The sequence below is a fragment of the Homo sapiens genome, chromosome 3, assembly GCF_000001405.40.
Source record: "Homo sapiens chromosome 3, GRCh38.p14 Primary Assembly".
Taxonomy (NCBI): Eukaryota; Metazoa; Chordata; class Mammalia; order Primates; family Hominidae; genus Homo; species Homo sapiens.
In genome coordinates this window covers 85,863,197-85,890,719 of record NC_000003.12, presented here as the reverse complement: position 1 = coordinate 85,890,719, position 27,523 = coordinate 85,863,197, and the positions used below count along the sequence as shown (strand labels likewise).

At 34.4% G+C, this 27,523-nt stretch overlaps 1 protein-coding gene across 17 annotated transcripts in view; it reads right to left on the bottom strand.

Moving 5' to 3' along the window:
* CADM2 (cell adhesion molecule 2) overlaps window positions 1–27,523 on the bottom strand; it is a 1,115,441-nt gene that overhangs the window by 183,710 nt on the left and 904,208 nt on the right. For 15 of the 17 annotated variants that reach the window (NM_001375961.1, NM_001375960.1, NM_001167675.2 and 12 more), the window contains 2 exons: window positions 7,277–7,429; window positions 4,393–4,530 (listed from right to left, as the gene is read on the bottom strand). The exons of 1 other annotated variant lie outside the window; for it this stretch is intronic. In NM_001375961.1, coding sequence (NP_001362890.1) covers window positions 4,393–4,530; window positions 7,277–7,429 — 291 coding nt within the window. The remainder of the gene's footprint in view (window positions 1–4,392; window positions 4,531–7,276; window positions 7,430–27,523) is intronic. One more of the 17 variants, NM_001375964.1, reaches the window with a different exon arrangement.

Below are 27,523 nucleotides of genomic sequence, written 5' to 3'. Positions count from 1 at the left end.
TCAGTAATGAAAAAAAGAAAAAAAAAAGTCTTTCTTTTTTTTCATGAACTGATAGCTACAATTTCACAAACCTATGTCACAGCCTTATAATAATAGAAGGCCATGTATCTCCCCAAATGGTCTCTCTCCAAAATTACTGACAAGGAAATTCCTTCTGGGTCCGATAATCTATCAGAATACATGCCTTCCCTATAAACTAGCCCTAAAACATAGTTCTGTAAAATCTAACCATGACAATGCAAATTACCAGCTTTTCTTCACAGGTATGAGACAAAGAAAGACTAGAAATAATCCCTCTGCCTATCTGAGACCAGTGCATAATTGACTCCTTCCTCCACTTCATCTGTTCACACGGTTATCTTATGTAAAATGTAGATTGACTGAGTGAGAGACAAGTGCATAATTTACCTTTCCCCTACTCTCTCTTTCTCATGTAAAATACAGATGAACTGAGAGCTAATCAAACTCTCACAAGAATGTAACCACTTGTCTCATTGTCTACCCTTCCCCTAAACCCCTTTTTTTCCTTCTTACTCCCCTCCTGCTTGCTCTTTCCCCTTTCAATATTGAAGTCCTCCAAACCCTTTTTGGAAAAGGCACAGACCACAGATGCTTCTGTGATTTGTGTTATTTTCTTGGGCACGTCCTCAATCTTGGCAAAATAAACCTCTAGATCGACTGAGACTTGCTTCTGTCACTGTTTGGTTTATACATTGTTTAAGACACATTTACTCAATAAACAGATCTTTACTGAGTGCCTGCTTCCATCAATGAACTGTTGAGCCTTAACCTCTCCCACAAAGTAGGGCTGATATCTGCTACTTCTGCACAAAACTGTAGCCAGTTCATATACCTGTGCCTGTTATGTCTTATGTTTTTATGTCTCTTTCTCAACTGTGAAAGCTTGGGTGGAATATTTTTGTTTTATTTGTTTATATTTCTAGGACTAATTCAGGAATTGGTACAACTCATCATGATTTCCTGAAAATACAAATTACAATGATAATGATAATAATATCTAAAATGTATTCAGTGATTCCTTGTACTCTGAAAACACTTCATACATATCATTTTATACAGAATTCTTGCAAAAGCACTTTGAGGCAACCATTATTGTCCTTATTTAGCAAAGGAGAAAAAGAAAGCTCAGAGACAGAGGCAGGACTTCTGTATAGTTTACTGATACTCTTCATTTTATATTTTTCATACCAAAGTGATCCTGAAACAGGAGCGTCAACATCATTCACACATTTAACACAATGGCAAACACGCACATTTTCAGGCTCCCCCGTGGGCCTGCTCCACCAGAAAATCTTGGATCAAGGCCTGATAATCTGAGATTCAGCAAGCCCTGTACTTGAGGATGCCCTGTGCTTAATGGCTACAGCTTCAGAACCACTGTTCTATAACCAAGTATGGACATATTCTGGACAAGAAAATGTGATAAACTAGCACTTTCAAGTGACTTTTACCCAGAAACATGGATATAAAATTAATATGTTAGGTAGTGATAGAGAAAAGATAAAGATTTGTATAAACGTTTCTATTTTTAGGAAAATATTCTCCATAACATGTTTGATAACCCCAAAGACATCTTCAACAGCTGCAGGTCAAGTTTCTTGGTTTCTCATTTGCATCTTCACTAATGCACCATAGAATACTGTGAAATCGAGAGGCATTTTAACAATTTCTTATTGAATTGAATTTAATTGAATTTGATTAGCCTGTCTTTTCTGTTTGCCTTATTTTATGCTAGGGAGTGTCTTTTTAAAACGTGTCAAGTGATATTATACTAAAAACAGTTAGATAGTAATAGGAAGTCAAACTTTTATCCCTAAAAAGACAAAATAGTGCCAGATAAGGTGGATTACCCCTTTAAATGAGGAGGGTTTGCTAAAAGATGGAAGAGTGAAATTTTGCTTAGCATATCCAGAAACAGCAACTACAGTGAATATTTACTTTGTGCCGTAGTCTTTACCTAACTGTATTTACATATACACTTACAAAAATAAAATATATGCCACTCAGAAAGTTCACCATCTGGTTAGGGAGACAAACGATGTAAACATGCTAAAGAATTGTAAGATTAGATAGATAGATACATAGATACATAGATAGACAGATAGATAGATGCAAGTGTAGAGATAAATGCTCTGTAAATGGCAGTGCATTGAAGAGCATAGAAAAAATGGGATCTTCACAAGTTTTCAGTACTGCATAGAACCATATTCTGATTCTGTACCTGTTTCTGTCTTCATTGTTGTTCTGATCTTGATTCAGATGATTTTAAACTATGTTGTTTATAAGATTAAACTTTTCATATTTCTTCATATGAGCAAAAATCTTTCCCCTCCTGCCCAATGTATGATTAAATCTGTTTGGCATTTAAAACAGAGGCCAATTTTGTCAAAAATTCACTTCCTTTATAAATGTCTGAGTATATCATGGGTTTGTCATGCAGCTACAATGTGAAAAACAATCAATCAATATTAATGAGGTACTTAATATGTGAAAGTGTATGACCTCCTTGAGGATACAAAAGAGGCAAATCCTTGGAACATAAATAAAATACTAAGAAAGTGAGAACTGAGTAAACAACTAATTAATTAACTAATTGTGTCAGAATTTAGGAAGAAAAAACATGTAGGTAATAAAGTAATTCATTGAAGGATTGTATCTAAGAAGTGCATTTTAGTGTAAGCCAAGACCTTCACACAAAAGGAAATATGTGACGTGTAAGAGTTCACTGCCTGGAGAATTCTTACAGGCTACAGAAAGCAGATTTTAAACTTATTCTAAAGTTTAGGGCTTTCCATTAGAAATGCTTAAGCCAGAAAAGTGCCTGGATCAGATTCTTGTTGTAGTAAGATAACTCTGGAAGCACTATGGAACATCCATTAAAGAGAGATCTAACCAAGTCCAGAAATGCCTAGACTAACATATCCTAGAGGCAGAATTAGAATGGATGTTACTGAGCCTTGACAGAATTCAAGAATCAGGTTACACAGTAACCTGAAATTTAATTTAGCATAATAAGATGTCTAACTTGTGTCTTGGGACTTGTATTTCTCAAAATGTAATCCAATAATGTATATTTATTAGAAATACTAAGGCAAGCGTAGTGATCAGGGTAAAATTATGGATAAGGACCTTTTTTGGGAAAAATATGCAGAGAAAGAGTAATTAAAACAGGAAACTGATAAAAATAATTGCATGGATTATAATCATAATTTTTCAGTAATATAGGCAATCTTATCTGCTAAGCCTGCATGCCCATTACAAAGAATTAATTAGTGTGATATAAGGTATCACAATTATAGGTTAAAATAATCAGAATGTCTGAGCATGGTGGCTCACACCTGCAATCCTAGCACTTTAGGAGGCTGAGGCAGGAGGGTCACTTTAGCCCAGAAGTTCGAGACCAGCCTAGGCAACACAGCACGATCTCTACAAAAAATAAAACAAGTTAGCCAAGCATGGTCGTGCATGCCTGTATTCCCAACTACTCAGGAGGCTGAGGCGGGAAAATCACTGGAGCCTAGGAGTGCGAGGTACAGTGAGCTATGATCGTATCACTGCATTCCAGCCTGCGTGACAGAGCAAGACCCTATCTCTTAAAAACTCTTAAAAATAAATAGATAAATAACATTTTAAAATAAGCAGAATGGTTTGCATAAACCTGTTTCATAGAAGATAATGTTGAAAATAATACATATTACAGTGGCATAAGAAATATGTTTTAATAATCATCATAAACAATTCTTATACTTAAATACCAAGCCATCTCCCTTATAAACTTATTCCCCTCCTAAAGAATGTATGTTTGAGTGTGTGTGTGTGACAGAGAGAGAGGGAGTTTAAATTTAGATGTATAAAGAATTTAAAGTATGCACTTTTACTTAGACAAGTACACATTTTTGCCTTTTGTGAGAATTAACAGGAATCAAATTTATTGATGTTTAACCAGTTTTATTCTCAGAACTCTATAATTCCCGAAACTAAGTTGAAGAAATAATTTATACAGTTTCTCTGTCTTTAACCAAAATATTATATATGAGGTCTGAAATAATAGTATCTAATATGTACTATTGTGAAGTATGAATCTATATGTTTCTTCATATATTAACTTAATTATTCCCTCAACTTTTCTATAAGGCATATATTATTTTAAACCTATTTTACGGAAGAAGAAAATGAGGCCCACAGGGATCATACTTATATATTAATATATCTTGTAAAATTACCTTACTTAAGAATGGGTAAATCTGGTTCAAATGATGCATAATCTGTAAGAGACACTATGTTTTGAAAAATAATGTAAAATGCCTTTTTCTTAACATGTCATACTGGTTTCAGCACATTAATTTTGATTTTCATTTTTCTATTCTTTACCTTTAATCTCTTTGTCATTTTTGAACCATCTTATATCAGCTGCAGGTTTACTACCAGATGTTTTGCAAGTCAGCTGCATCAAGTCACCCTCCATAACTGGTGATGAGAATCCACTAATCTGAGGCTTTTCAGGAACACCTGAAATTTAAGCGAATGATGAAGTGAGCATCAATCTTCAGGGTTGATTTGTTATTATGTCTATTACTTTCACACATGAAACTGAACTGGATGGTTAATTGACAAGAAGTTCGATCAAGATGAACAAACTACTATGTAATAAACTGCTTCATATGTGTGTGTTATACATACTTAGGTGTATATGTCTATATGCATACACATAAACATATACACACATCCATACACATATATATGTGTACAGATATATAAATATATATAGTATCAAAAAAGTATGTAAGATGCATATAGCTCAAAGTAGTTTTTTAAATTAAATTGTAATTTTTTTTTTTTTTTTTTTTGAGACAGGATCTTGCTCTGTCGCCCAGGATGGAGTGGACTGGCTCGATCTCGGCTCACTGCAACCTTTGCCTCCCAAGTTCAAGTGATTCTCCTGCTTCAGACTCCCAAGTAGCTGGGATTACAGGTGTGCACCACCATGCCCGACTAATTTTTTTTTTTTTTTTTTTTTTGAGATAGAGTCTTGCTCTGACCCCAGGCTGGAGTGCAGTGGTGCAATCTCTGTTCACTGCAACCTCCACCTCCCAGGTTCAAGCAATTCTCCTGCCTCAGCCTCCTGAGTAGCTGGGATTACAGGTGGGTGCCACCAAGCCCGGCTAATTTTTGTACGTTTAGTAGATACGGGGAGGTGGGGGTGGTTCTCCATGTTGGCCAGGCTGGTCTCGAACTCCTGACCTCGTGATCTGCCCACTTCAGCCTCCCAAAGTGCTGGGATTACAGGCATGAGCCACCGTGCCTGGCCTAATTTTGTATTTTTTAGTAGAGATGGGGTTTCCTCATGTTGGCCGGGCTGGTCTCAAACTCCTGACCTCAAGTGATCCACCTACCTCGGCCTCCCAAAGTGCTGGGATTACAGGCAAGAGCCACCGTGCCTGGCCTCATTTGTAAAATTTTACCTGTGAAAATACTCTTGTAAATCTTAAAAACAATCATTTAATATAATTTACAATTTACTAGTGTAGAAATTTTAAAAGGTAGATTGCATTAAAGAAAAAAAACTCACAAAACATATTTCTTTATCCATTAACAAATTATAATTTAACTTTAGCTTCTTTCTTTCCTGATTTCATAGTTCTTAAAGCTTAAAAAGAATATTATCATCTCTGTATTTTATGGCCAGGTACGGTGGCTCATCCCTTGTAATCCCAACACTTTGGGAGGCCGAGGTCAAGTGATCGAGACCATCTTGGCCAACATGGTGAAACCCCGTCTCTACTAAAAATACAAAAAAAAAAAAAAAATTAGCCAGGCGTGGTGGCAGGTGCCTGTAATCCCAGCTACTCAGAAGGCTGAGGCAGGAGAATCGCTTGAACTTGGGAGACAGAGGTTGCAGTGAGCTGAGATGGCGCCACTGCACTCCAGCCAGGCTACAGAGTGAGACTCCGTTTTAAAAAAAAAAAAAAAAAGAAGAAGAATATTGGAAGGCACCAATATGAGAAGTACAAATTAAACAACAGGAACAACAAAGATACATGAAAAATTAACATAACTCCTCTTAACATTTTTTGTCTTCACCTACATACTACCTGCTTTCTTTTTAAAAAATCTATGCCTCATCACCATTTAATAAAGTGAATTCATCAGTCATCTATTCTTTGGATTTCAAATTGGCTCTCTACAGAACAATACATTAACCTTATGCAGTTGTTATCCTGAAATACTCCATTTTAGAGGGCATATTTTGTCTTTAATGGCAAACTTGTGAAGATTTTTATAAAATAGTCCCAGTGTCACTTGCAGAGAAATGTTTTATATCCTATGCACAAAACCAATTCACTAGCTGGATTAACTTTAATATTCCCACCAAAAAGAACAGCATGTGTTAGTCCTTTTAAATGCAGCATTGTGCCTTTTTCTATCTAAAGAGGGCAGCAAGCTTGGGGGAAAAAAATCAATCTTTAAATTCTTCTAACTTGTTCAGCACGCAGGTGTGTTTCAATGAAATGCAGCAATTTCAGCTGATTGGGGCACTGACGTCTGTGGAATCACAGAGAGCTCAGAGCTGCAACTTTATTTCCTCGGAATCTCTATGAATGTATTGCTTTTTTTGTGTCACTTTCACCTTTGGGAAAATGGCCCAATATTTAGAGAACAAAAGCACAAAGAAACTACAAGCTGCAAGCTGAAGCGACATTAGGTACTTCATTTAGGAATCTAGAAAATATAATTTCAAAAGGAGAGAAGACACATGGAAATATCAGGGTCATTTAAATGCACTAAATACACAAGCAGGTCATATTTGAGAGCCACAAGTTAGCAAGAAAGGCCCTTATCAGGTGACTTACATGATCAAATAAAGGAGCATAGTATAGAACACAAGTTGAACTCATTATGCTCATTATTGTGTCATGTCGTAAAAGGATCAGAATATATACAACATATAGATTATTTGATAAAAAAGAAATTAGCTGAAATCAAGAGAACCGGTGTCTATTGCTGGCTAAGAAACAAAATAGCTATGTGCCTTCTAGAAGTCATATACATCTTTGAATCTATCTTTGTCCCTTTATAAAATGCTGAAAGTGACTAAATGATTTTAAAACGCCTGTGTTAAAATGTAGCAGAGAAAGGATTAAACCATATCTATTCATATAATCTTCAAAATATATTTTTGTATTGAATTATGTTGCTGTAGCAATATATATCATTCTGGTTTTGTGATTACATGGTGTTAGTCCCTTGCACTTACCCAGAACGGTGAGATATGCCTTGGAAGTTTTGACAGGCATTGTAAATAAAGAACAGGTGTACTGTCCTTCATCAGAGAGAGACACATCACTGACACTAATACTCAATTCATGCCAGGAAGCGCGAACCAGCTCGATCCTATTGTCCCTTAAAGCTGGAAAGAGAAAATATTGAAAATGTAAATAAGGACATCAGAAACAGTCAGTATTTTTAGACTATATATTTTCAACACAATACAATAAATGTTTTCTTTGGCCATACATTCAAATCTTATTTCTTGGAACAGTTTAAAAGAAAGTTTAAATATATTGAAATATTTTATCAGATTTTTAAAAATCAAAGTAGAATTAGGTGCTCCTTAATGTTTTCAGAAATAACTTTTTTATTAAATGATTACATCTAATGCAATACTTCAGATGAGGTAGATACTGATGTTGATAAACATAGCTTTCCTCTGCAAATGTTTCATAGAATACCAGTGCCAAGAAAAGCTATAAACAAAATGGGTTCACTTCTATGGACAGATAAATTTGGTAAACTGTGACTGCTGCAGGACTTCCAAGGCAACAACAAAAATATTGGCCTATTACAAGCTCTCTGCAGTAGAGGCACTTGAACTATTTCAACTTGAGCTGATATTGAGCAGAAAGGCACCTGTAAACTATCTGGCTTTTAAATTTGCTCTGATTGGTTGGTGCCACTGCTGTATTGTATGTTAATACAGTCTTTGGTTTGAATCACCTTTTCTATCACAAGACACTCAGTTTCACAGAAGATACTTTAGCATCTTGCTGAATTATGCTTCACTTGACTCATTTTGGGAGAAAAACAAAAGCATTAAAAAGTTTATCATTGTGTGCTCTACTAAGTAGAGCTGTAGAATCGGGAATTAAGCAAGCAGCAACTAAAAGAGTACTCTAAAAGGTAGAAAGAGTGAGGAGGACTGGTTAAAGACACCAGCACCCGAGGAAAATCCCAGTAGCTTCCCAAACAGTAAAAGACGATCCAGACCCAGCTTCTCCCAACCACAAACTAGAAACAGAAGGTAGTCTAGGTAGACTCATTTTTATTGCTGATCAAATGAGAATCCATCCAACAATATCAGGAGAGACTGGGTTACCTGCAAGGAGAATGAAGTAGGAGCCTTACTAACAGCAAACAGCCAGAGAAAGTGACCTCTTTTTCTAGGATGCCTAAGACTTCCCCTCTCCATCTAGAGGTTCTGAGCAGATAAGCAGCTCTAGCAGTGTGTGTGGAGGGTGAGGCGGGAGGGTATATGCGGGGTGGGGGCGGGGGGATGTCTCTACCAAAAGTACAGAGCCCTGGAAGTAATCCTCTTTTCGTCAGCTAGAGCAGGGGTCCCCAATCCCTAGGCCATGGGCCAGTACCAGTTTGCAGTCTGTTAGGAACTGGGTCACACAGCAGGAGGTGAGCCATGAGCCAGCCAACATTACTGCCTGAGCTCTGCCTCCTGTCAGATCAGCAGGGGCACTTCTTATAGGAGAGTGAACCCTATTGTGAACTCTGGATATGAGGCATCTAGGTTGCGTGCCCCTTATGAGAATCTAACTAATGCCGGATGATTTGAGATCAAACAATTTCATCCCAAAACCATCCCCCACACATACCGCCCACCATCCATGGAAAAATTGTCTTCCACAAAACTGGTTCCTGGTGCCAAAAAGGTTGGGGACCGCTGAGCTAGAGCATTTTTTAGCTCACCTAGACCACTACAGCTTAGCCTGAGGAATCTCCTCTTCTCCCTTCGGTGGACCAGAAGAGATCAGTGTGGCCCCCAGTAGAATTAGACAAATCAACCTGTCCAAATAGCAGCACAAAGTCCCTAAAAATTAAATTCTCATTAGAACCACAGCCCATAATTGAAAGCTAGGACTAGCATGTTATACCTTAACAGGGCAACTGCTTCTTAGAATAAATCTAATTAGCATCCAGAGTCTCTTAACATAATCAAAATGTTCAGCGTATAATAAAAAAAACTTACTAGTCATACTAAACACCAGGAAAATCATAACCGAATGAGAAAAAATAAAAGATGCCTATACTGAGATGAATCAAATATTGAAATTTTTGACAAAAATTTTTAAGCAACCATTATAAAAATACTTTAATAAGCAATTACTAATGATCTTGACACAAATAAAAAAAACAGAAAACCTTAGCATGAAAAATGTTATTAAAAATGGACGTTACAGAAATAAAAATACAAAAGCCAATATAAAAACTAATTGGATTTTCTCTATAGTACAATGAAAATGACAGAGGATAGAATCAGTTAATTTAAAGACAGAGAAATAGAATTCACCCAATCTGAATAGCTGAGAGAAAACAGAAGGATAAAAAGAAAAGATAGCAAAGAACAGAGGCCCAGGGACCTGTGAGACAATAACAAAATATCCATCAGTGATATCATTAGAGTCCCAGAAGGAAAGAAGAAAGAGAGTGGGACTAAAAGGGTATTCAAAGAAATAATGGTTGAAAACATTCCAAATTTGGCAAAAGTCAGGAAGATAGAGAATCAATCAAGAAGCTGAGTGAAACCCCCAAACTAGGAAAACCCCAAAGAACTCTATATCGAGATACATCAAGAGGAAACTTCGAAAAGCTAGCATCACTGCCTGAGCTCCACCTCCTGTCAGATGAGTGGGGGCATTTCTCATAGGAGAGTGAACTCTACTGTGAAAACTAGATGAAAACTATATAAACAAACTTCTTGAAAGGATCCCAAGAGAATAGCTTATTACCTGTAAGAGAATACAAATTCAAATGACAATGCATTTCCCATTTCAAGTCATGGAGGCCAGAGGAAGTGGTGCATTTTTCAACTTCTGAAAAAGAACTATCAACTATGATTTCTTAACCAGTAAAACTATCCTTTAGGAATCAAGAGGAAATAAATATGTTCTTAGAAGAAAGAGAAACAGATAATTTGCCTCTAGCAGGACTGTCTTAAAGAAAAAATATTTTTCAAACATAAAAGAATTAGTAATAAGAGGAAATCTTGACGCATCAAGAAGAAAGAATGAAAAAATAACAAAATAAGAGAAAATACAATGGACTACCCTTCTCCTGAGTTTTTTCAAATATAAGATTATTAAAACAAAAAGTATAACTTTGATAATGTCCACCATATATAGAAGGAATACTTAAGACAAGAAAAAAAGTGGATAGGGCAAAGATACCTAGTGGAAGTAAGGTTTCCATACTTGAAATAGTAAAATGTTGCTACTAGTAGACTGTGTCAATTATATCTGTTAATTGCGATACCCAGAGCAACCACTAAGAAACGCACACAAAGAATACACTCAAAAACTCTATAAATAAAGACGGAATCCATTTATATGATGTTTTGAGATAACAAAATTATAGAGGTAGAGAACAGCGTTTGGTTGCCAAGGACTAGGGATGGCAGGGGCGATGGAGAGTAGAGGGACATGGGTGTGGCTCTAAGAGGAAGAAGGAATCCCTGTGGTTCTGGAACTGTTTTGTCTCTTGATTGTAGTGATGGATACATGAACCCACACATGTAACAACATTGTCTAGAACTAAACATATAAACACACACACACTTACACATATGCACACAAAAATAAATACATGTAAAACTGATGAAAGCCAAGTAAGACTATTAAACTGTATCGGTGTCAATTTCCTCGTTGTGATGTTGTTTCATAGCTTTACAGCTGTTCCTTGGGTGAAAGGTACACAAGAGCTCTCTATTATTTCTTACAACTGCATATAAATCTACAAAAAAATTGATTAAAAAATTTTAATGCACATTTGATGGAGTAGGGAGAACAGTTAGGATATCAAAGCTTAAAATTCAGTGTACACATTTACTACACAAGAGGGTGATCCCAAATGTCATATATTTGAAAATTACCTGCACCTTCCCTATGTGCTTTGTGAGAGGAGCAGATAATTATAAAATATATAGCCTTTGGGAAAATTCTAAATCATTGTGATTCTAAGTATCTTTAAAAAATCACCCTCCCATACACTCAAATAATAAAAACCTAAATGATTGTATCCCCTTTGCTGTCATTCTTTGTGAACTCTAATTGCTTAGGAAGATATACACTTGCAAATATTTTTAGAATTGATTTATATTGAATGTGAAAAATAAAGCAGGTCTGTGCTTGTGACTGAATTTGGATACAGCACACTTTAAAAAAAATGTCTATTTCATACTCTATCTCCTACATGCCATGATATAGATGCCTTGTTTAGCTGCCAGAGGAAAGTAGTAGGGCACAAATTTGTTATTCTCACAATAGGAACTCATGCTATATCAACCCCTTTTCAAAACAATGATTTATTCACATAAATATTTATCTTATATAAATATATGTATTTATATATAATTTTAAAATTTTGTTACTATGTGTACATATATACTAAATATATATGTATATTATACATACTCATGTAGTTTGTTCACACATTTTTTAAGAGGTCACCAAAAGGAAAAATCTCAAATTCCTGCTGTGATACTGTATGGATAGAATACGTTACCCACCTCCTGTGCTCAATTTCATTTCCCCTAACACAGGTTCCACTGACACAGACAGAGCTTACAATTCTCAGTGAATCCAGACAAAAGGAATTTAACTCTATTTTAGCCAGACTGTATTTTGGAACCTATATAACATCACCAAAGTTAAACTGAATTGCTCACTACATACGAATATAAGACTTTCATATTTAAACCATTTTCATGGAACAAGGCTAAAGGTACTGATTTGAAATCAAAAGACTTGGCTCCAGACACTTGTATGAAGTCAGTTTCTGGTGATAATAATTTCTGATTCCTTCCATCTTTGGATTATGATGAGAACTGAATGATATCATGGAGAATGTAATGTGACTTCAAATACATCTACAATGACATTTTAAAATTATTTGGGGTTTGGAATCCTGAGGAAAAACTAGATATTTTCATGTCTGAAATATTTCAATCAATTCAACTTATCAAATCATATAATACTTTCAGTTGTTTCTATGATTATTACCAGCCTTGACTAATTAAAAACTAGGCTCTGAAAAGCAGAACACATGAAGTTTTATGTAAGCTTCATTATAGTTTAATCATATTAACTTGAGCAAGTTACTTAAATATGTCTCAGTCCTCTATGAGGTAAAACTCCTATGCTACATCACAGTGAAAGTATAAAGAATGTGGTTTAGAATTTTAGAACTGAAATATATGAATATATATTTAAAAATGGACAACACATTCTTAAGGACCAAGAAACTGCCAAAATTACTACATGGATTATTTATTGTGTACATTTTCTTAATAGTTTATTGGCTAAGCAATAGAGCTGCCTAACAAGATTTTCCATGAACTGAATATTTTAAGTAAATCCTACATCCACACTGTTAATCTTTTCAAGTTCACAAACACTTATGATGTCATCTACAGTTCACTTTAAAACAGCATTTCAAGTATGAAGAATAAGGAAAAAACATTTAACAGTCCAAAGAGGAATATACTATAACTCAGTGGGTTTCCTGTGAGCAGGAACCTTGTTTCACTATTTCAGCACCCTGAGCTATAGCTATCTACACAGTAGGCATTCAGTGAGTAGCTATTGAATTGAAACTGAGAGCTAAACTCTGTCTATATGTGATAAGAACAGAGTGAAAAAGAGCTGAACTAGGAAGTCCTCTTCAATATCTCTCCACAGGATCCCCCATGGGAAAGAAGCCACAAAAAAACCAAAAAAAAAAAAAAAAAAACAGAAGAAAAAAAATGTTCCATTTAGACACTGTTGAGTATAAAAGAGCTAGAAACATCATGCTACACAAATTTTTTAAGTAAGTGACAGTTCACTGGAAAATGATCTGAACTACTGAATGAGTGAACTTTGAAAATATTTTCATTTTACCTTACGGTTTCCCAAAACACAAAAGGCCGTAGTTAATCAGAGACCATTCATATCATTTAACTTTTCTATGTAGCAGGTCCCAAATATACAGTGAACCTAAATAAAGAATTGTAATATTGTCAGTGGAAATGAATTCAATCTTTTAAAAAATGTTCCCCTTTGAGGACACAGAATATAAATCATTACCTGAATGTCCTTTTCAATAATAAACTAAAAACTCAAACATTTTATTTAAAAATATTTTAAAACATTAAACTAGGAATGAATAAAGAATAAAAGAAATGAGCATGTGTAATAAAAGAAGAAAAGGGTGTTATTCACATATCACAGAGCTATTAAAAATAAGCGAATGGGTTAAGTAGGCCACTTTGAGGTCATGCCCTAACAGCCATTAGTTGCCTGCTACCCACCGGTGGGGTAATTTAACAGTTCAAAACTCTAAATTCTGGAAGATTCCATCTTAGCTGCATATAACACTCTACTATATGACCAATGAGTAAAACTCTATTAAATAGTACTTAACTCTGGATAAAATGATTTTTCCAATACACCGTTGGTTTTAAATGGTTCAACAATCATACAAACGTGTATTTTGGATTCATGCTGAATAAAATAAAAATGCCTAAGACAACTAATTGGAGGATTTCAGACACATTTTATGCCCATTTCTAACAAAAGGTACCAGCATATTAAGTAAGTTGTATATTAGTTAGTTTTAGACCAAATTAACTTAATAAGAATAGCACTGTTGAATTTATGTAGCATGATTTATTCAAGAACCTGCTAGCAATTTGTGAATACTTACATTCATAGTTTTCTTTCCTTAAGTGTTATATTTATAAAGGTGATCACATACTCCTTGCTGGAAACTTTAAAAGGTATCTTTAGATTGGTTTCTAGTGAGTAATAATTCATGTCACATTTTAGAATGCTTAAATCATGACAAAAAATCATATTCCATTGTGAGTCACTTTTAAGAGAACATTAAAATGCAACATTTCTTACATTTTTTTCTAGTTCACCCATTGGACATGAAACTTTCCCAAACTGGGATTATGATATACCTTTTTGGACTTTTTTCAAGGCCTCACACATGTCATGGTACATATCAATACCCATTAGTAATTTATTAGATTAAATTGAATATGCGGATTATCAATCTTCAGCATATAATATTCTATAACTGTATTAACAACGTTTGAGAAAATTCCACATATTAAGTGAATATTTTATACTGTGTGATTTTTATCATTATAATTCATTATATTTTATAGACAAGTACTAAAGGAAAACCTACATCAGGATGATAGAAATCACTTCAAGTATCCCTTGGCTATGTAATTCTCAATGTATAACATTTACACTCATAAGACTTTAGCCAAGACAAACACTGCACACATTTAAAAGTTTTTAAAATGTATTTAATCTCCAACCAGTAAGTTTCATTTCCTAACTTAAATCCATGTCACTGATGTGACAGGATTTCAACAACCACGGGGTGTCAGCCTTCATTTTCCTTAGCCTCAGTGCATGTGCTTTCCACCCAAGTATCCCACTTAATTCCTATAGGAAGTTGAGATGTGTCAGTACAATAAGCCAAGTTCTACCTATGGGAAGATGTACTTAAGAACTCTACCCATAAGGCCTTTGATCCAGTATTGAATTTTATTTTGCTGTCTGTTGCCTGAGAGTAGACTACTTCCTCTGTTTCTAACTTTGTTCTTTAAGGTTACCCACACAAACACTGCTACTTTCAGACTTCTGCAACAGGCTTGCTCTCTGCACATTGTCCACTTAGTCCTGTGCTAATTGCTTACTCTGCTTTACTCCTATTGCTTTCTCCAAAGCTGGTCACTAACAGGACTGACTCATGCAATCTGCTAGCCATGTTTTTTTCAGTTGAAATCTCTACTTCCCCCAAGGATCAGAATCAGGACAAGGATTTGAAGCTTCAGTGAGGACAACTTTGTTTTTTACATACTAGAATAATTTTTCTACTACTTAGATCTGTACCCTAATAAATCAGATAGGAAAACTAAGTCAAATAAACTATAAGAAAGCTTACAAAAAGGATCAGAAGTCTAAGACTTAACACTTGTCAGATGTTATACTTTGTATCTTGAGCTGTGTGATGAAAATATGCCATTAGATATTGCAAAAGAGGCAAGATGAAGACTCTTATTCTTATTATCAAAATGTTATTTTATTTGTTGGTAGCTCCATACAATCTTATTGGATATATTAAAATCAGTATGTGTCATTTGTAATAGTACAAATTGCCAGGAAAAAAAAATAAGATTTGTATTACAGACAGAATAAAATATCAAACAAGCAAATCCTTTTCTGTTTTGTTCTTTCACAGTCATACAACATAAAACAATCTAAATCAATCTTCTGGAAAATTGGTAAAGACAACCATTGCTCCAGAGCTCCTATTTGGTATTCCAAGTTTCAGCCTGGACCGAATTTTTACTGAAACCATAGTAAATGGAGTTTTAAAATAGAAATGCAAACAGAACCTAAGCAATACATCTGGAAACTGTGTTACTATTTGAAGACAGTTTTTCAGTAATAGAATTTCAGTTTTTACACCCTAGTATTTCTATGTTTAGTATTGTAGTTTTATGAGAGAAGACTGTTAACAGATAGTCATCAAAATTAATTAACTACAAAATTCTAATACCCATTTTCAAGAGACTTACAGAGACAAAATATTTCCTCTCCATCCCCTACAAATAAAAGTTTGTGAATATTTTGTTTCCTTCTTCAAAACACAGTATTTCCCTAGGTGTTTGTCACATTACAGTTTTTATTTTTCTTGAGAAAATATATTTTGGTATTTGATAGCGTTCACAATTTGATACCACTCACTACTGGCCTGGATCCGTAGAACAAGAAAATGATATGGTATTTGAACCATAACAATTTTTGTAAGCCCTCATTCTTTTTAACAACCTACAATATATTGGTCTCCTCATAGACATATGAAATTCATTTTTTATATCTAACTATAAAACCATCACCATATGTAGCCATGTGGTATAACTCTCATGTAGCATTTATATCAAAGAGACAAGAAGATTATATGTCATGCTATTATGGAAATGCATACACAAAGGTAGATTGGGAATCAAAAACATCTGCCTTCATTAGATAGAGAAACCAGCCCTTGTTATTTATAATCTGCCTTGTAATTTTACAGAATCCCATATTCTGTGAAAGCCTTCAGTTGGCATTTACAACACAGGAAGGGAAAATGACTCCAGACTACATTGTGTACAATTCTAATAATCCCGAAGTTGTACCTTCTACAGCCTGAAATTTGGATTAAATTTTTCACAGTTCTGTTTTCACTAAGGTAATAACATAATTATTTAATGAAATAAACAACTTCTTAGAGTACACAAACTGAAAATCCAGGCACTTGTTGTACAATTAAGAAACTGTTCTCTTTTATATTTTTAAAACGTAGGCATAAGAATAAAAATATTAAAATAATATAAATTTTATTAACAATAGTCCATAATTTTCTATGAAATGAGTTTAATATTTTTCATTGCCAATATATTTTTGCTACGGAAAGTTTCACCACTTGATCTTGCTTCCTTCCCTCAGTTTCCCCACTTCTTACTAATATTTCCCTTTTGGGGATGAAGGAGGTGAGTGTGAATTTTCCACAAATAAAATATTATCTTTAAAAAATTAGCAAATTACTGATTATAATGAATATTGTTTCTAATATCTCACATACATCAAAAATTCAATGTGAAAGTGATGAGTAATAAAAATTTTAAAAATTATCATTTACTATATAGAATTTGAAGAATGACATCCTACTTTTTAAATTTAATTTAATTTTATTTTTTTGAGATGAATTTCACTCACTCTGTCACCCAGGCTGGAGTGCAGTGGCACAATCTCAGCCCACTGCAACCTCTGCCTCCCTGGTTCCAGCGATTCTCCTGTCTCAGCCTCCCCAGTAGCTGGGATAACAGGCACACACCACCATGCCTGACTAATTTTCCTATTTTTAGTAGAGACGAAGTTTCACCAGGTTGGCCAGGCTGGTCTTAAATTCCTGACCTTAAGTGATCTGCCTGCCTTGGCTTCCCAAAGTGCTGGGACCACCAGCTCAGCCACCACGTTTGGCTGACATCCTACTTTTTGAAGTATTTTCTATGATGTTGAATTTTCTTTCTTTAAATGATTTATTTTTCTTTATCACAGAGTGATCTGAATTGGTTTTTAACAATTCTATTTATACTAAGTTACATGTTAACATTTAGTAGTTTTGTTAATGCTATGGTTTGAATGTCTCCTCCAAAGCTCACATTGAAATTTAATAGCCATTGTAACAGTATTAAGAGGTTGGCCCTTTAAAGAGTGATTAAGTCATGAGGGCTCTTCCTTATGGAGCATTTTAATGACTTTAACAAAGAAGTTTTGGGAAGTGCCCTTTTACCTTCTGCCATGATACAGCACAAAGACCCTTGCCAGATGCCAGCACCATGTTCTTACACTTCAGCCTCCAGAACCATGAGCCAAGTGAATTTCTAGTGTTTGTAAATTACCCAGTCTGTGGTATTTTGTTATAGCAACATGCAATAGACTAAGACAGTCAATGTATAAAAAAATTCATGACATTCAAATTGATAAGAAGTTTTAGCAAAAGGCACAAAAAAGAAGTGTAAAAACGAGAGACAGCATATCTTAATACTTAATACCACAACTAAACCATAAAATTTTGGAAAATTTAAGCATATTTATCTTGTGATATATAGTACTGAATGTATCTAAATTATATATATATAATGTATAAATATAAACATAAATTTATATAAAGTATAAATATAAATACAATAATATGTATACATTGTATGTATGAATAAATATATAGATAAGTGAGAAGGGCAGTTTAAGATGGAATAGGACAAAAAGCCAATGCAAAATTAAAATTATTGAAGTTGCAACTCCTGGGGCAAATGAAAGTGACTGATGAAAGGTAATTTGATAAACATCTTTTATAAATGAGTATAATAAAGGCTTTTTTTTTTAGTAATTCACATAAGAAATGTTCCAAAACTTACCAAAAACATTGGAAAAAATATACATCAAATTAGACACATGTGAAATTCACAATAAAAGAACACATTGTGTTTTATTAAATATAATGGTTCAGCAGTAACTGTGAATTCCTACTTTGTAGCTAGGTTGAAATGAGATATACTGTGGAGGTGACTTCTGAAACCCAGAGAGAAAGCTCTGAACACACACTGCTCTTACTAATTCTCAAGAGGGAAATCCATAGTGTGATATGTACTGCTTCAAAGTCTTCTGTACTTGCTGACTCCACCACTGTCATATGAATCTTTGAGATCTAGACTTACAGGCTTTGAGCTTGACTTGGCCTTGGTCACATAGGCAGCCCAACAACCAGCTTACACTGTAGAAAAGATGCTGGCTCTCTCTTAGGGAGCTTTCACTGAGGTAATGGGGACAGTATGAAAGAAAGATTGTATAAAATAGTCTTCCAATGCAGGAGAGAATAAGAAAAATACACGATTTGAAAATAATTGGCTAATAAACTGTATTTTGTTTGTATATTCCACAACATATTTTGAATAGCCACACCACCATGCAAATATTTTGGGGAATTTTCCAACTGGACAAAAGAAAATGCCATTTAAAAATTTCTTAAAGAACTGGATGCCTACCAACCATGTGCTCAATACAAGGGCAGTAGATAAACCTAATGTCTCATCAAAGATGGATATAGGAAAACCATCATCACATAGAGGAAAAATCACATGATGATGATGATGATGATGACAACGATAGAGTAATGTTAATTTATGGAGTATGCACTATCTGACAAAACATTTGCTAAGTGTTTATATAGATTTTTCTACCTTTTATCTTCACAATAGCTCATTGAGACTTACACTAGCATTATTTCTCTTCTAAAGATGAGAAACCTAAACATCAGAGAGGTTCAGTAACTCACCCAAAGTTACATAGATAATATATATCTGAGCACAGATGAGTGTTCAGGCAGTCTGACTCTAGAGCCTATAGATCTCTTAAATATTATATTCAAGTAACTTCCTAGCTAATAATTACTAATCCTCATATTCAATCTGTTAGAAAAACTGTGAATGGTATCTTATTAAATATAAGGCTGATGATAGACTAACCAGACTTAAAAAACATTTAGTGGTTTTGATGTGCATTTCTCTAATGATTAGTGATGTTGAGCATTTTTCAATATATGTTTTGGCCATGTGCATATCTTATTTTGAAAACTGTCTGTTCATGTTTTACCCACTTTTTAATGGGGTTGTTTATTCATGTAAATTTAAGTTCCTTATAGTTGCTGGATATTAGACCTTTGTCAGATGCATAGTTTGCAAGCATTTTATCCCATTCTGTAGGTTGTCTGTTCACTCTGTTGTTTCTTTTACTGTACAGAAGCTCTTAAGTTTAATTAGATCTCATTTGTCAACTTTTGCTTTTGTTGTGATTGCTTTTGGCATCTTCATCAGGAAATCTCTGTCAGTTCCTATGTCTGGAATATTATTGCCTATGTTGTCTTCCAGAGTTTTTATAGTTTTGGGTTTTACATTTAAGCCTTTAATCCATCTTGAGTTGATTTTTTTGTATATGGTATAAGAAGGAGAGTGTGAATTAGTTCAATCATTGTGCAAAGCAATGTGAGGATTCCTCAAAGAGCTAAAAACAGAACTATCATTCAACCCAGCAATCCCATTATGGGCTATATACCCAAAGGAATAGAAATCATTCTACCATAAAGACATATGCATACATTTTGTTCATTGTAGCACTATTCACAATAGCAAAGACATGGAATTAACCTAAATGTCCATCATTGGTAGAATGGATAAAGAAAATGTGGTACATATATACTATGGAATATTACACAGCCATACAAAAGAAGATCATGTCCTTTGCAGGATCATGGATGGAGTTGAAGGCTATCATCCTTAGCAAACTAGTACAGGACAGAAAACAAAATACAGCATTTTCTCACTTATAAATGGGAGCTAAATGATGAGAACACACAGACACAAAGAAGGGAACAGACACTAGGGCCTACCTGAGGATGGAGGATGGGAGGAAGGAGAAATCAGGAAAAAATAATTAGTGGGTGCTAGGCTCAAGACTTTGGTGGCAAAATAATTAGTACAACAAATCTCCATGACACAAGTATACCCATATAACAAATCTGCACATGTACCCTGAACCTAAAGTAAAAGTTAAAAAAAAAAAATCATCATCAACAACAACAAAAAGTTAGTTAGCCCAAACAAGCTAAATGAATCTTTGTCTATGCATCTACCTATTCAAGATATATAAGGAATTTTACCAAGCAGAAAATACCAAGTCAGTGCTGCATTTTGAAGTGATCAGAATTGTTTCTAATGAGCCCAGGAGATCTTATGTTATAGTAAGAAGTTAACAGTATAAAAGTAATCTCCTGCCATACACATTGGGATTGGCAGTGGTAGATTATATTCGAGAAGGTTCAGAACTCACAACTAAAATCTAGGCAGATAGGGCAGGGCGCGGTGGCTCACGCCTGTAATCCCAGCACTTTGGGAGGCCAAGGCGGGAGGATCACGAGGTCAGGAGATCAATACCGTCCTGGCTAACATGGTGAAACTCCGTCTCTACTAAAAATACAAAAAATTAGCCAGGCCCCGTGGTGGCGGGCACCTGTAGTCCCAGCTACTTGGGAGGCTGAGGGAAGAGAATGGCGTGAACCCAGGATGCAGAGCTTGCCGTGAGCCGAGATCGCGCCACTGCACTCCAGCCTGATAGACAGAGTGAGACTCCATCTCAAAATAATAATAATAATAACAATATAAAAAATGTAGGCAGATAAAGGAAACAAGAACTTTAACAGCAATGAATCACGAGCATGGTGGTTGTACAGAGCTCTGTTAGAAGTATCTGAGACCCCACAAAAATTAGGAAAGTTGAAATCCCATATGAGATCTATGGGACCACCTGTGATTAATTCACCTAGAAATTAGGGATTGGGCTAAGAACTAATACATTTATAAACCATTTAATTGTAAAACAAAAGGGAATTTGAGGGTAATATTAATGTCTCCTGTCATCACACATCGTATCTGAAAAAATACCTTCCTGCTAAAAATGAATGGAACGAAGCTGACTACTTTTCTAAAAAAAAAAGTTTTATTCCATATTTAAATTCAGTAAGTAATTGCTTAGTGAAGGGCTGTCATGTGACCAGATTCAGCCAAAAAAAAGTGAGTAAAGTGACATATTTCACTTCATTGCCGAGCTTTAAGAAGTTAGTAGAGCTTCTGTCGAGTTAGCTGAACTAGTGAGGTTAGCATTACCATAACAGACAAAAATGAATTAAATAAAAAGTAAATGGGAAGCATGAAAAATACAATTTATCATAAAAGGGATATCATTCTTAAAATATTACTATAGAATTTGCTACAAAAAAACAGAAAAATATAATAAAAATGTTTAAATCCTCAATATGCTGTAAGAAGATATAAACTCCAATAAAAAAGCAGAAAGACACATAGAAAAATTAATCTGAAATATTACAATAAACGATCCAATTAAAAATGGAGATGAAGATAAAGGTGCAAAAGAATTCAAGTCCAAACTCAAAGCAGTCAAAGCTATGTAAATGCAGTGCAAAATGGAAACAATGATTTCGTTAACCAACTTGAGATAGCTCAGAAAGCAGAAGATAAGGTAGTACATACAAGAGAAGGGAAAGATTACACACAAACACAAATTATTGAGAAAAATAACACTATGACAACAGAATTGAAGGCATATTAGTAGCATAATTTCTGTGGCTAAAAGTCACTTGTGTTTTCATTAGAATAGTTATTAAATCTCAAAAACAAAGGAGTAATTTCATCACAACTTTGAGGACAAAAATTTCATAACCAACCAATTTATCTTCCACATGATATTGCAATAGAAAATCGTTAGACATTCAAGGCCTCAGAAAAATATTACCTATTTACCTAAGAAATTCATTAGGCAATCAAGATAACAGGCTGTCAATTATAGGTAAGAATTGATGTGCTCTCATCATTCTAGTGAAAGTCGTTTCTGTTTTAACCAAAATTTGTATGAAGAAAACTGTCATCATAGATTTATAATAATGCAAAAGTATAAATAAATATCCAACATTATAATTTTAATGGAACATTAGAAAGCTTTCATATTATAAGCCTGAAAACTTTTATAATAGGAAAATAATACAACTTTAATTGAAAATAGAACAGAAGGATGTAAAATAAAATGTTCAATATGGTATCTATTCTATAATAAAATAGAAAATGTATCTAACGGATTGATGAAATTTGGGACTCTTTTCTTGCTTCTTTGAGCTTTTCTGAATTTTTAAATTTTTATCAGCTAAGTTAATTACATCTATCTATTTTTAAAATGTTACACTGAGAAGATATAAAATAAAAATCACAAATTATATTGTTGGTACCTTAATAATAAGGTACTATTGAAATTGACTATTTGAAGCTGTAGAGCTGATTCACTTGTTTAGACTGTGTTTTAGCAAGAAACGTGGCCTAAGATCTCATTTTAAAATGTGAAAGTAAGGCAAGGTGGAAATAGATGAGGCTCCAGAAAATACAAGAAAAAGGAAAAGGAAGTGGTGATTATATCAATCACGTGAAGGTCTTCTTATACTTGCCGATTCACTGTTTTTATCACTATTCAAGATCAGATACCAATTTTCTGAAGAAGTGTACAATGCTATTTAAACGGCCCATAAAATAAGCATAATTTAAAAATTTTCAAAGTATTTCTTCTTGTAGCACTAAATGCTTAAGTTCTTATGATAAAATAATAACATTCACTATGCTTGATTTACATATTACACAGATGTAGATATTCATTACAGCTTCTCCATATTTTGAAAAATAAATTCTTTTTAAAATATTTATTGTTTATCTAAGAAACATTCCTTTCAAACAAAATACATTTACTTTTGAGACTGGCAACAGCATAAATGTTCTCATCTGTGGTAGAGGTCATAATATTATGGGAAATATTTCCACGATAAAATAATATACAATCAATATATTCTTTATATATTTATTTATGAGGATTAGGAAGAAAACAGTCTTTAAGACATATAGGAGCACACAATAAATGTGACAGACTTGAGTGATGACATAATACTGTTTTGTCTGTGATGGTGACACAAAACAGCAAAGGACACAAAACTGTCAGTCTTGTTGTTTATCTTCTATCTCAAACTAATAAAAGAAGGAAGGTGATTGACGGCAAGTAGACATAGACACTGTCTTAGACATACAGTTGTTACGTTTTACACATACATAAAAGTACTATCTTGAGGGTTTTAAAGATGCTTTACTTCTCTAACTTTCTAAGATGTTGTCTTTGCCTAAAAATAATAATAAGGGAATTTATAGTATGATTATACTAAATGTTATATATTATCCCTCTTAGAAATGACTACTTTTTTCATAATTTGTGAAATTCATGCTGTTATTCATTCTACTAGAACTTATCCTGTTAAAAAATTGCACACACTTGAACCTATAAGAAATGACTACTTCTTAATATACTATCTGTATAGCATGAATGCACGTTTGTGCATGTGTGTATGTGTTATATGTGTGTTTGCGTATGTGTGTATGTATATGTACAATAAATATTTATGTGTTCAGATAGAGAGAGAGTAGGGCAGTCATGGTGAAAGTAGAAAGAGAATAATGGGGACAAATGGAGAAAAAAACCAGAAGAACACGTAAAATTGAATTCTTTTTTATAATATATATTTTTTTCAAATACATAAATTATTAATTAAAACATTCCTTCAAAACACTGAATATGTATAGAGGAAGTTCCAAAGAAGTACAAAGTGCCTGTACTGATTTTTAAGAGCTTGCAATTTATTTGAAGGAGACTAAACGTACAGATATAAAATACGTAGGTGATAATTGCAAAACAACATGAAAACAAGTGAATAATAATATGGCATAAAATTCACAAATCAGGGCTATGGAAGGAATGTAATTAAATAAGACTCCAATGAATCAAGAAAACTGTTCTAGAAACTTTGAATATGGAGTTAGGCCAGTGAGTGACTGAAACCTGCAGAAGGATTTTAAATGTCAAAAATTAGCTCCAATAAAAGAAAAGATGGACTCAGTTAACAGGGTGGGTAGGTCCAGAAAAGCTAATAGCATTTCAGCATGCACAAATATATGCTGATCTCTTGCCACCTACACTTATTTTACCTTTCTTAGTAAAATGTTAGTAATTACTGGTAGGCAAGCAAAATTTGTCCACTTCGGGGTTTTTCTTCTATCATTATTATTATTATTTTTTAAGATGGACTCTCACTCTGTCGCCCAGAAGAGTGCAATGGCGCCATGTGGGCTCACTGCAACCTCTGTCTCCTGGGTTCAAGTGTTTCTCCTGCCTCAGCCTCCCAAGTGGGGTTTCTCTTCTTACAGCTCCCTCTGTTCATAGTGTCCTAGCTACAAACCTCCCAGTTCCAAAATTCTATTTATTTTGAAAGGCTATCTATCTCATAGTTTTGCACGAAAATGTTGCTTTCCACTCTCACTGAAATGTCATATTTCTTGAAATTCTTTAAATATAGATCTCATTTCAGGTTTATCCATGTCTATGATTTATTATAGTTTTCTGTGATAATATTGTATCTATTGTAGTTTAAGTTCCGTAAAAGTAGTATCGTGCATTTATCTGCGTCCCTCTCACAGCTTAACTACCAGCTGTGACTTAACACAGCTTCAATCACAGTTTAGGCTCATAAAAATACAGAGATGGTTATAAGCTTTTCAAAAATTTTACAGTCATATTATCATTTGCAGAAATAAACTTTTTTTCCACATGTAAAATTTTCAAAAATGTTTCTCCTGAAAATGTCAGTGCAGTGCACTAAGTATTTATTTGTTTTTATTCCGTTTCGTATTTTACTAATAAACACTCATTCCATCAAGAAAAACTGATTCAGATGTATCAGGATTTCCTCATAAGTGGGTGCAGGAGTTCATATTTTTGCTCCATGCTTTCTTTGCAAACATATAATAATAAAAATATGAAGGAAAAAGCAACATACACACATTTTATTTGGAGGACCAATCTTTTAAATAAATAAAGTAAGCAGAGAAGAAGCAAATACAATGAAAACTACAGGTCTGCTTAGTTGCAGGTCTTAAGTTTGTTCCGAGGGAGTGAAAGAGACTTCAGTGCTCCCAGACAGAGACAGGAGCAGGCATAGAAAGTTCTTGAAGCCAGGGCCTGGAGTAAGCCTCTCCAGTTCTTTGAAGTAAGCTAAGAATAAAAATTCACACCACCTGGGCTGTGGCTTCAAACAGCTTGCAGGCCTGTAGCAGTGAGAACACAGACACAGCCTTATAAACAAGAACTGACCAAACTGCCTCTCTAACTGGATCACAGTGCCCTGCCTAAAATGTCTTGATTTAAAAAGTGGTTCTGGGCTGGGAGCCCAGGGAGTTAAGTGACTAGAGAGATTAAGATAATGTTCAACCTCAAGACTGGAAGAGTGAATACAGAGATGGGAAGTGAGAGTTGGAATAAAAAGGAGAAAGGCTAGAAAAAAGATAGCAAAAAGAAGAAAATTCTAGCTTCCAAGGAATATTCAAAGAAAATTGCATAAAAAATAATATTTTGTATCAGTTACATAAATAATCTAAAGTGTGTTTAAGATGCTTCCAGTGATAAACGAAGGAATAATTTCCATTGACATAAAGTAAGAAATTATAAAACAAATTTAAAAAGGTCAATATGTAAAGAAGTAATTTTAAATAGTATTAGAAAGTACAGTCACTTGAACTGTACTTGGAATTACTAAATTTGTTGCTGTTGTTGAGGAATTTACTAGCAAATCACTCAAAAAGACAAAGATATGTTACAAATAGGACAATAGTTGAGCAACCAGAGGCTAAGCTGACAGCCTCCAGTACATATAGATAAGAGTAAATCCAGCATAATGGAATGGTGTAGTAGTATCATTTCAATAAATAATTGCTGTAAATTTCCCAAAACTGAAGAAATACTTAAGAAGGGAAAGTTACAGGCAAATTCCTCATAAAGATAAATGCAAAGAATACTAATCAAAATATTTAGCAAACTGAATCCGTTGATGTAAATAAAAAGTAATTCATTCCTGCTGATTTGGGTTTAGTCCAGTAATGCAAGGTGTTTATAATTACAGAAAAAGTAATCAATGCATTTTGACATACTAACAAAATGAAGGAGGAAAAGCTTATAACTATCTTAAAGAAGGCATAAAAGTATTTTATAAAATTAATAACAATCATGATAAAACTCTTATAAAACTTGGAAGAAAAAGGAACTGGTGGTTTTACTTTTCATGCAGATGATCATTCCCATCATTCTCCTAGTTCCTGGACTCTCGTCCTAAGATCCCAGTCTCTACCCTTTCTCAGTCACTCTGTGGGTGTGCTCTTCACGTTTTCATAACCAATACACGCAGCCCTTCCATATTCCACACATGCTACTTGCTGACCACCAACTCCCACGTCTCCAGTCCACTCTCTCTGGGACTCAAATGCAACCAGAACATTTCATTCTTAGATGCTACTACACTTTCATTGTCATTCAAGCCTCACAAGTCCTCTTTTCTGATTTTATTTGGCTTAGATTTCATGATCCATTGAGCAAATATGTATTATCAAGTGCTGTTTAGGGGTTTTTGGTGGCACATTTGTGACCAAGATCACTTTCTGTTTCAATCATTTTTCGCTACTATAACAGAATACTGCAGGCTGGGTAATTTATAGAGAAAATGATGTATTTGGCTCATGGTACTGGATACTGAGAAGTCTAACATCAAAGTGCTAGTGTCTGCTGAAGGCCTTGTGCTGCATTATCCTGGGGCAGAAGAGCAGAAGGACAAGCAAGTGTGTGAGACAGAGAGAAAAAGAGAACCAAACTCCTGCAGTAATTAACCCACTCCTGTAATAAGGGCATTAATCCATTCAAGAGGGCAGAGCCCTCATGACTTAATCACCTCTTAAAGGCCTCATCTCCCAATGCAATTACATTGGCAGTCACCTCTTAAAGGCCTCATCTCCCAATGCAGTGACATTGGCAATCACCTCTTAAAGGCCTTATCTCCCAATGCAATGACATTGGCAATTAAATAACCACATGATTTTGGAGGGGACATTCCAACCATAGCAATCCCTTACATTCCCTTTCAACTTCCTCATCTCCTCACTTACAAAGACCACATGTGAGTTAAACAGAATTCA